Source organism: Homo sapiens, chromosome X (genome assembly GCF_000001405.40).
Source record: "Homo sapiens chromosome X, GRCh38.p14 Primary Assembly".
Classification (NCBI taxonomy): Eukaryota; Metazoa; Chordata; class Mammalia; order Primates; family Hominidae; genus Homo; species Homo sapiens.
In genome coordinates, this window is record NC_000023.11 from 44,730,713 (window position 1) to 44,742,748 (window position 12,036).

Here is a 12,036-nt window from a genome sequence, read left to right on the forward strand (position 1 = left end):
CTGATGTTCATGTTGTTTTTCCAATAAATTGTGCTGAGACAACTGGATATATACATACAAAAGAATAAAGTTAGACCCTTAGCTCACATCATATATAAAAATTAACTCAAAAAGGATCAAATACCTAAATGTAAGAGTTAATACTATAAACTCTTAGAAGAAAATATAGGAATAAACCTTCATGACCTGATATTTAGCAATGAATTCTTAGTTATGGCACCAAAAGCATGAGCAACAAAAGAAAAAAAATAGACAAATTGGACTTCATCAAAACTAAAAACTTCTGTGCTCCTAAAAAACACCATCAGAAGGTAAAAAGACAACTCACAGAATGGGAGCAAATCTCTCCAAATCATATATCCGACATGGAACTTGCATCTAGAATATATAAAGAACTCTTACAACTCAGTAATAAAGAGACAACCCAACTTTCTAGCAGTGTGAGAATGGGCTAAAGGACCCTTCAAGTTACAAAGGATCTGAATAGACATTTCTCCAAGGAAGATGTATACATGGCCAATAAACACATGAAGAGATGCTATCATTAGTCATTAGGGAAATATAAATCAAAACCACACCCACTTGGATGGCTATAGTCAAAAAGTCAGCTAATAACAAGTACTGACAAGGGTGTATTTGGAGCCTTTATACGTTATTATTTAGCAGCTGCCTTGCTAAAAAAATTGGCAGTTTCTCAAAATGTTAGTCATAGAATTATCATAGGACCCAGCAATTTACTCCTAGTTATATACCCAAGCGAAGTGAAAATGTACATCCACACAAGAACTTGTACATGAATGTTCATAGAAGTATTATTCATAAAAGCCAAAGGGTGGAAGCAACCCAAATGTTCATCAACTGATGAATGGATAAACAAAATGTGATATATTCATATGACGGAATATTATTTGGTCGTGTAAAGGAATGGAGTACTAATACATGCAACAACATGGATCGACCTGAAAGATTATGTTAAATGAAAGAAAACCGTCACAAAAACTGCATATTGTATTTCATTTAGATGAAGTTTCCAAAATAGGCAAATCTATAGAGACAGAATGTAGATTAGAGGTTATTTAGGGCTGGAGTGGGGGATATTAGACAGGAGAGCAATAGCTAAAGGGTACAGGATTTCTTTTTGAAGTTATAAAAATGTTCTAAAATTGACTGTAGTGATGGTTTCATACATCTGTGAATACACTAAAAAACTAAAAATTGTATACTTTAAATGGATGAGTTGTATGGTATGTTATTTATATTTCAATGAGGCCGTTAATAATCAATGGCAAATGGCCAGGTGCAGTGGTTCACGCCTGTAATCCCAGCACTTTGGGAGGCCAAGGCAAGTGGACCACCTGAGGTCAGGAGCTCGAGACCAGCCTGGCCAACATGGTGAAACTCCATCTCTACTAAAAATACAAAAATTAGCCAGGCATGGTGGTGCACACCTGTAATCCCAGCTACTCGGGAGGCTGAGGCAGGAGAATCGCTTGAACCCAGGAGGCAGAGGTTGCAGTGAACCAAGGTTGTGCCACTGCACTCCAGCTTAGGCGACAGAGCAAGAGTTGGTCTAAAAAAAAAAAAAAAAAAGCAAATGTAATGGTACTTCAGGAGAATTTGGTGGTCTAAATAATGCACAGATTTGTTTGTCACAGTGAGCAGCAACACACAGAAACCCTGAAACTAATTGGTCAGAGTGTCTTAGTTCGTTCATGCTGCTATAAAAATACCTGAGACTGGGTAATTGATAAGAACAGAAATGTATTCCTTATGGGTCTGGACGCCAGGAAGTTCAAGATCTAATTGCCAGTAGATTCAGTGTCTGTAAGGGCTGTTCTCTGCTTCCAAGATGGTACCTTGTTGCTGCAAGCCCTTATGACTTAATCATTTCCCCAAAGTCCTCACCTCTTAATACCATTACCTTGGAGTTTAAGTTCCAACATATGAATTTTGGAGACACACATGCATTCAAACTGTAGCACTGAGTGTGCTTTGGGAACTGGGTTAGGCATGGATACCCATGTCATCTCGCTACTCCTCTTCTGCCACCAGAAAATATATCACTTGTTTATACACCCAACTTTTATTAAACTTTTAGCTTTATTTCTTTTATTTAATTTTAAAATAAGGTCTTGCTCTGTTATTTTGATTGGAATGCAATGGCATGATCATAGCTCACTGCAGCCTTGAACACCTGGGTTCAGAAATCCTCCCACCTCAGCTTCCCAAGTAACTGGAACTTCAGGTACGTGCCACCATGCCTGACTACTTTTTGTTATTCTTTTATTTTTTAGAGATAAAGTCTCACTATGTTGCCCAGGCTGGTCTCAAACTCCTGGCCTCAAGCAATCCTCCTGCCTTAGCCTCCTGAGTAGCTGAGATTATAGGTGTGAGCCACCACACCCAGCTAAACTTTTAATTTTCAGTAAATCACTTGCTTTTGGTGGTGGGAACACAAAGGACTCCCGAAACTCCCTGTCTGACAGGGTAGTCAGACATAAATAACCTTTATAGGGCCCAATAATACATTCTCAGAATTTGTGAATAAGGTCAAATAAAAGTCACCCTCTGAGCAAAAAATCAACGTAAAATAAATCAGCTTAGCCATGTGTAGAAGTTGCCTAACAGATGGTTTATAAATGTGCTGTTGATAGAGATACTTGGAAACCATCAGAGTCAGATGCAATAAACAAAGACCAGGCCAGTAAGGCTGAGGGGTCACATCCCTGAGATAGGCTCTGAGTTCTCTGCAAGCCTTTCTATTTATGATCAGAAGGCCATATTTGTATGAATTAGTCTGAGCACACTCTCCGCACTCCTGGGTTAGGCCTCTGATCTACCCAGGGAGTTTCTCTTATCTTCCTTTGGCTTGTCATTTCCTAACTTTCAGCTCCAGTACCCAATTTGGGTCACATCTCCAACATCCCTTTTGCCTCTTGAAGTAAGCTTGACATCTTATGCAGATTTTTGGAGCATCCCACCCTCAACCCAGATCTTGTCTTTACACTAATAGCCCATCCTTGTCTTGCTCTGGTACCTAATGCATATGGAGCAATGAGGAAGCATCTTCAGGAAAGCCTTCCTGGAATGTGAGTAATCTGCTCAATAGTTTTGTTGAAAGTAAATGATGAGTCAATAGAATGGGGATATTCTGCATGGAGTGTAGAAAAAAAAGAGAGCCAAGAGCCAAAGATTTGTGGAACTTCAGGATGGTCCAGAGATGAGCTATTCTCCTGACTGTCTGGCCTAGGTGTTCTGGAACTTTTGGCAAACACAACTCTGGAGGGGGAATGGCTTTGTTAGGTGACAGTGGCTTTATGACAGCAGCCATTTTAATCATCTGATTTCTTGTGGTCTGACTCCCATGCTCACCCAATAATCATCTGGTGGTATAGTCATTTGACCTCCCAGATACCCATTTCTACAAGGAAAAGAATGTGCTGACCAACCATGAGTAGTCCTGATTACTTGATGTCCTGTTTCTTACTATAATTTAATAAATTGGCATTTTGGCCTCTAGTAAGCTAGTAGTCCCCTGAATTTAATTGCCTCTGGGTTCAATGCTGAACTCCAGTGTCCTGGCCTCCAAAGCAAATTCTATCACCCATTGGAAAGACTCACCAGCCTTTCTGAAGTCTCTATTAAATGCAACCACTGTTATTTCACGAGAAATGTACTCTCGTGGGTTATAAACTAAATGCCAGGAAGGCATGGACTCAGAGTGATTTATATATCTTGGAAGGAAAGAAGTGGGAAATGAAAAAAACTTCACAGAGTAAATATTTGAGCTCTTAAAGGGTTTTCATTCGGCTTAATGATTTGAGAATCATTTTTCTAATTATAAAAGTAATACATGTTTAATGTTGCAAAATGTGGGTAACATAGAAAAGCATAAATAGAAAAAAATTAAAACATGATTAAGATTTAGACAGCTGAAGAAGTGAAAGCATTCTTTTTTGATGACTTGCAATCAATTTTTCTGACACAGGCTGCACTCAATCACTCAAGCCCAGACCAAAAACTCACTGACATATCAGAGTGGGCTGAATTCACATAAAGGCAAAAATTAAAGCTTTGGCTTTATGTGGATTGATTTCTGAGTTCAAACCTTTTATCTCATTTTTCTTCAAATAGTAGCCCATAGACCCACTGTCATCAGAACCACCTGGAAGGCTGGGCGCAGTGGCTCACGCCTGTAATCCCAGCACTTTGGGAGGCTGAGGCAGGTGGATCACTTGAGGTCAGGAGTTCGAGGCCAGCGTGACCAACATGGTGAAACCCCATCTCTACTAAAAATACAAAATTAGCCAGGTGTGGTGGCACACACCTGTAATCCCAGCTACTTGGGAGGCTGAGGCAGGAGAATCGCTTGAACCCAGGAGGCGGAGGTTGCAGTGAGCCGAGATCGCACCATTGCACTCCAGCCTGGACATCAAGAGTGAAACTCCATCTCAAAAAAAAAAAAAAAGAAAGAAAGAAAGAAAAGAACCACCTGGGGAAAACTTGTTTGAAAATGCAGATTCCTGGGTCCACTGATGACCTACTGAATGAAACTCTCTGAGGGTGGGACCAATAACCTGCAATTTAATATGCTTCTTCGGAGATTCTTATGCACACTAGCATTTGGGAGCCACTTTGAAAAAAGCTTTTTGGGGTGGTGAAAATGATGGTCTGGCAATGTGAATGTGGGTCCTTTAAAACATATCTGAAGGAATTGGAACCCTTGTGCGTTACTGGTGGGAATGTGAAATGGCGCAGTGGCTGTGGAAAATGATATGGATATAACTCAGCAAATTAAATATAAAATTACTGTGTGAGCCAGCAATCCCACTTCTAGGTATATAGCCAAAAGAAATGAAAGCAGGGACTCAAACAGATACTTGTACACCGATGTTATTAGCAGCATTATTCACAATAGCCAAAAGTTGGAATCAAGCCAAGTGTCCATCAACAGAGGAATGAATAAACAGGAAATGTGGTATGCACCTACAATGGAGTATTATTCAGCCTTAAAAAGGAAGGAAGTTCTGACACATGAGACAATGTGGATTAACCTTGAAGATATTATGCTGGTGAAATAAGCCAGACACAAAAGGACAAATAAAGTTTGATTCCACTTATATGAGGTGACTCGAGTTTGACTGAATTTGACTGTACTCATAGAGTTGCCAGAGGCTGGAAGCAGGGCAGAATTAGGGAGTTAGTGTTGAATGGATATGGAGTATCATTTGGGGAACATAAAAAAGTTCAGGGATGGATGGTGTGACCATTGCACAGTAATATGAATGTGCTCAATGCCATAAAATTATACACTTAAAAATTGATTAAAATGATAACTTTTTTTTTTTTTTCAGATGGAGTCTCACTCTGTCACCCAGGCTGGAGTGCAGTGGAGTGATCTTGGCTCACCGCAACCTCCGCCTTCCGGGTTCAAGCGATTCTCCTACCTCGGCCTCCCAAGTAGCTGGGACTACAGGCACCTGCAACCATGCCCGGCTAATTTTTGTATTTTTAGTAGAGATGGAGTTTCGCCATGTTGGTCAAGCTGATCTCCAACTCCTAACCTCAGGTGATCTGCCTACCTCGGCCTCCCAAAGTGCTGGGATTACAGGCGTGAGCCACCATGCCCAGCCTAAAATGATAAAACTTTTAACTTTTTTGTTTTGTTTTGTTTTGGAGACAGTCTCCCTCTGTCGCCCAGGCTGGAGTGCAGTGGTGTGATCTCGGCTCACTGCAACCTCCACCTCCCAGGTGCAAGCGAATCTCGTGCCTCAGCCTTCCAAGTAGCTGGGATTACAGGTGCCCACCACCATGCCCAGCTAACTTTTGTATTTTTTTTTTAGTAAAGACAGTTTCACCATGTTGGCCAGGCTGGTCTTGAACTCCTGACCTCAAGTGATCCGCCACCTCGGCCTCCCAATGTGCTAGGATTACAGGCGTGAACCACCGCACCCGGCCATTTTTAACTTTTATAGAGTTATGTATATTTCACTCCAGTTAAAACACACACACACACACACACACACACACACACGTGTCTGTGACCAGCAATTCCTTTGCTTTGCCTGAAGTGGAAATAAAAAAGGCTCTCACCAGGAAGCGACCACAGAAGTGTGGGTCAAGTTCAAGCTCAGATGCAGAAGGTTATAACCATCTCACAATGTATCTTGCATCCAGCCTTATTGGAAGACAAGGGCTTCCAGGTTACTTTACATTGTGATTTAAAGTGTTCAGCAAACTAACACAGAAACAGAAAACCAAATACCACGTTTGCACTTATAAATGGGAGCTGAAGGCCGGGCGTGGTGGCTCACGCCTGTAATCCCAGACTTTGGGACGTCGAGGAGGGCAGATCACCTGAGGTCAGGAGTTTGACACCAGCCTGGCCAACATGGTGAAACCTCTTCCGTACTAAAAATACAAACATTAGCCAGGTGTGGTGGCGGGTGGCTGTAATTCCAGCTACTCGGGAGGCTGAGGCAGGACAATCGCTTGAACCCGGGAGGCGGAGGTTGCAGTGAGCTGAGATCTCGCCACTGCACTCCAGCCTGCCTGGGCGACAGAGTGAGACCCCGTCTAAAAATAAATGAATAAAATTTAAAAATAAAAAATAAGGGCCTGGCGTGGTGGCTCACGCCTGTAATCCCAGCATTTTGGGAAGCCGAGGCAGGCGGATCACGAGGTCAGGAGATCCAGACCATCCTGGCTAACACGATGAAACCCCATCTCCACTAAAAATACAAAAAGAAATTAGCCGGGCGTGGTGGTGGACGCCTGTAGTCCCAGCTACTCGGGAGGCTGAGGCAGGAGAATGGCGTGAACCCGGGAGGCGGAGCTTGCGGTGAGCCAAGATCGCGCCACTGCACTCCAGCCTGGGCGACAGAGCGAGACTCCGTCTCAAAAATAAATAAATAAATAAATAAATAAATAAATAAATAAATAATAAAAATAAATGGCAGCTGAATGATGAGAACACATGGACACATAGTGGGGAACAACACACTGGGACCTGTCGGAGGGTGGGGTTGTGGGAGGAGGGAGAGCATCAGGAAGAATAGCTAATGGATGCTGGGCTTAATACCTAGGTGATGGGTTGATCTGTGCAGCAAAACACCATGGCACATGTTTACCTTTGTAACAAAACTGTACATCCTGTACATATACCCCTGAACTTAGAATAAAAGTTGGAAGAAGAAAATTAAGGTGTTCATTTAGGGCTGCAAATCTAGATTTTGTTAGTGAAAAGTTACCAAGGTCCCTGATTGGCCCAGCATGACAGGAATTATAGTCCGGAGCTCAAAGCAGAAACAAAAGCCAACAAAAGAATGCTGTTTTTTTCTAGTATTTGAAAACCTTAGCTAACAGTTATATTAAGCTGGAAATACTTATGTCTTCTACTAAAAAGCCCTAGATTTAGAAAGCCTATGTTGTTCTCAGGGCATCATTGGTTGATGCTAATCCATATTTTCCCTCTTCTTTACTGTTGGGAAACTGACCAATTTTACTACATAAAAGGGGCAGATTCAAGTGGTTTGCAAGCTATTTAGAGTAACTTTTTGACAAGTGTAGGCTGCTTTAGCAAAAAGCTTGGGAAGGCTGGAGGCAGAGTCATTGGAGAAGTTTTAAACTCAATAAATCACAATACAATCTCACTAAAAACTCTGAATTATGGATTTCTGAGACTTGAGATTAATTTCCTCAAATGCAAGAAGTTAATAAGTGGCAGACCATGACAGAGTAGATCATGGCAGACCTCTTTTAATGTAATGACACAAATCTGTTTTTGTTTTTAGGATCTGCCCTTATTTTCAAATACAAATATCCCTCCCAATTTGTTGAACCATATTCCCCTTTTATCTGCCAGCCTTGGGCAGACTAAACCCCAGAGCCTCATATAAGAAGACTCTGACATGGGAAAAGACTCTCACTACATTGTTAACTCAAATAAATACATGTAAAATAGAAATGGACTATACAGTATGTGCCAGTCATGTTTTTTTTTGTTTGTTTGTTTGTTTTTTTTGAGACGGAGTCTCGCTCTGTATCCCAGGCTGGAGTGCAGTGGCCCGATCTCGGCTCACTGCAAGCTCCGCCTCCTGGGTTCACGCCATTCTCCTGCCTCAGCCTCCTGAGTAGCTGGGATTACAGGCACCCGTCACCATGCCCGGCTAATTTTTTTTATTTTTAGTAGAGACAGGGTTTCTCCATGTTGGTCAGACTGGTCTCGACCTCAGGTGATCCACCCGCCTTGGCCTCCCAAAGTGCTGGGATTACAGGCGTGAGCCACCAAGCCCAACTCATTTGCATTTCTCTAATGATCAGTGATATTGAGCTTTTTTCATATGCTTGTTGACCCCATGTATGTCTTCTTTTGAAAAGTGTCTGTTCCTGTTCTTTGCCCACTTTTTAATGGGGGTGTTTGTTTTTTTCTTGTAAATGTGTTTAAATTCCTTATAGATGCTGGATAGTAGACCTTTGTCAGATGCATAGTTTGCAAATATTTTCTCCCATTCTGTAGGTTGTCTGTTTACTCTGTTGATAGTTTCTTTCGCTGTGCAGAAGCTCTTTAGTTTAATTAGATCCCATTTGTCAAGTTTTGCTTTTGTTACGATCGTTTTTGGTGTCTTTGTCATAAATTCTTTGCCCGTTCCTGTGTGAAGGATGGTATTGCCTACGTTGTCTTCCAGGGTTTTTATAGTTTTGGGTTTTACATGTAAGTCTTTAATCCATCTTGAGTTGATTTTTGTATATGGTGTAAGGGGTCCAGTTTCAATCTTCTGCATATGGCTAACCAGTCATCCCAGCACCATTTATTGAATAGGGAGTCCTTTCCCATTGCTTGTTTTTGTCAGCTTTGTCAAAGATCAGATAGTAGTAGGTGTGCAGATTTATTTCTGGGCTCCCTATTCTGTTCCATCAGTCTATGTGTCTGCTTTTGTACCAGTACCATGCTATTTTGGTTACTGTAGCCCTGTAGTGTAGTTTGCAGTCAGGTAACGTGATGTCCCCAGCTGGGCATGGTGGTACACACCTGTAGTCCCAGCTACTCAGGAGGCTAAGGTGGGAGGGACTCTTGAGCCAGGGAGGCCAAGGCTGCAGTGAACCATGATCACACCACTGCACTCCAGCCTAGGTGACAGAGCAAGATCTTGTCTCAAGTAAACACACACACAAATAAATTAATTAAGTAAATAAATCAGAAGTGTTTGGGCTGGGGACGGTGGCTCACACCTGTAATCCCAGCACTTTGGGAGGCTGAGGCAGGTGGATCATGAGGTCAAGAGTTCAAGACCAGCCTGGCCAACATGGTGAAACCCTGTGTCTACTAAAAATACAAAAATTAGCTGAGTATGGTGGCGGGTGCCTGTAATCCCAGCTACTCAGCAGGCTGAGGCAGGAGAATCATTTGAACCCGGGAGACGGAGGTTGCAGTGAGCTGAGATCGTGCCATTGCACCATTGCATTCCAGCCTGGGCAATAAGGCAAGACTCCATCACAAAAAAAAAAAAAAAAAAAAAAAAAAGAAGAAGAAGTGTTTGGCAGGCAAAAGCAAAAAAAAAATCTATTACTGCAGGTAAAGATATTTAAGAGCATGAAAAATTACATTCTTGAACCATTTCCTCCTCAATCTTTCTATCTTGAGTTTGATTTTTTTTTTTGTTATGTACAATTCTATCTATTTTTGAAAGTAATACATACTTGCTAAAGGAAAATTTGAAGACTCAGAGAAACACAAAGAAAAGAAATTTTAAATACCTGTAATCTTACCAGGCAGACATAACCACTGTTGCCATTTTGGTATATGCCTTCACATTTTTTTTATATGTACATATGCAATAAAAGTATGCTATTTTTGTAGTCTGCTGCTTTTACTTATCAATATGTCATAAATGCTGGGTTTTCTGAATCAATATCCCCCCAAAATGACTTTACACTATTAAAGTGCCTAACAGCCTTTAATTTAGCCTGTATAAAAATTAGAAATGTTCTAATTAGGAGGAGCTAATTTAATATACCTTTTCTCTATCTGTTCTATTTTTGGGGGAAAAAAATAACAACAAAAAACAAAAAATATCTTGACTTTTTCTTCTCTTCGTTGAAGATCTTCCTGTGACCTTATTTGTGAAGCTATTCCAGCCAATGGAATTGGCTATTATATCATCCATATCAAGATGATTATGAATATCTGAGGTTAATATTTTATTAAATTTTTAACATTTTATCCAATAACTGATAAATAAAAGTAATGTTTCTGTTAACCAGAGTATATCTAACCTCATTTAAAATCTAACCCTGGCTTTCCGCGCTACCTACAGAGGGGTCCATATGGCGTTGTTCTGGATTCCCATCGTAACTTAAAGGGAAACTTTCACAATGTCCGGAGCCCTTGATGTCCTGCAAATGAAGGAGGAGGATGTCCTTAAGTTCCATGCAGCAGGAACCCACTTAGGCGGCACCAATCTTGACTTCCAGATGGAACAGTACATCTATAAAAGGAAAAGTGATGGCATCTATATCATAAATCTGAAGAGGACCTGGGAGAAGTTTCTGCTGGCAGCTCGTGCTGTTGTTGCCATTGAAAACCCTGCTGATGTCAGTGTTATATCCTCCGGGAATACTGGCCAGAGGGCTGTGCTGAAGTTTGCTGCTGCCACTGGAGCCACTCCAATTGCTGGCCACTTCACTCCTGGAACCTTCACTAACCAGATCCAGGCAGCCTTCCGGGAGCCACGGCTTCTTGTGGTTACTGACCCCAGGGCTGACCACCAGCCTCTCACGGAGTCATCTTATGTTAACCTACCTACCATTGCTCTGTGTAACACAGATTCTCCTCTGCGCTATGTGGACATTGCAACAACAAGGGAGCTCACTCAGTGGGTTTGATGTGGTGGATGCTGGCTCGGGAAGTTCTGCGCATGCGTGGCACCATTTCCCGTGGACACCCATGGGAGGTCATGCCTGATCTCTACTTCTACAGAGATCCTGAAGAGATTGAAAAAGAAGAGCAGGCTGCTGCTGAAAAGGCAGTGACCAAGGAGGAATTTCAGGGTGAATGGACTGCTCCTGCTCCTGAGTTCACTGCCACTCAGCCTGAGGTTGCAGACTTGTCTGAAGGTGTACAGGTGCCCTCTGTGCCTATTCAGCAGTTCCCTACTGACGACTGGAGCACTCAGCCTGCCACGGAAAACTGGTCTGCAGCTCCCACTGCTCAGGCCACTGAATGGGTAGGAGCAACCACTGACTGGTCTTAAGCTGTTCTTGCATAGGCTCTTAAGCAACATGGAAAAATGGTTGATGGAAAATAAACATCAGTTTCTAAAAAAATAAATAAATAAATAAATAAATAAATAAATAAATAAATAAAAATAAAATCTAACCCTGGGCTGCGCACAATGGCTCACACCTATAATCCCAGAACTTTGGGAGGCTGAGGCAAAGTTTTGCCTCACTCGGCTGATCACTCGGCTAATTTTTTTTTCGAGACAGGATTTTACCATGTTGGGCAGACTGGTCTCCAACTCCTGACCTCAAGTCATCCGCCCATCTTAGCCTCCCAAAGTGCTGGAATTACAGGCATGAGCCACTGTGCCCGACCAATTTTTTTGAATCTTTTCTTCCTTATGACACACAAAGTTGCTCAGCCCATCTCTATTTTTTAAAATAAAAATAAAATCTACCTACGTTGGCAGAGGATTTGCTGTTGCTCTTTTGTTCTTGAACAGATCACTGAGGGACTCAAGAAGGTATGCCTATCCTTTCCAGAAAGTTTGCCACTCTTTAGAAGTCTGAGTCAAGCTCTAGGATTAGAACTCCACAACTTTATCCCTATCCTCACCTCCAAGCCCCTGATTAACTGATCTATGTTAGAAGAACATCTGGGCTTGTCTGTTGTTCATCTCCAAGACTCCTACCTCCTGTATTCACCTGCTAAACAGGAAGAATCTATCACGTACCATGTTTTATAGTAGGTGCTATGCATGAATTCGAGAAAGCTGCTGATGTCTGTGTTTGGAAATCCTCAGGTTAATGATAAAC

The 12,036-nt window shown here is 41.8% G+C and overlaps 1 pseudogene; it reads left to right on the plus strand.

Annotated features, from left to right (window-relative positions):
• On the plus strand, nt 10,299-11,322 carry RPSAP61 (ribosomal protein SA pseudogene 61; annotated as a pseudogene).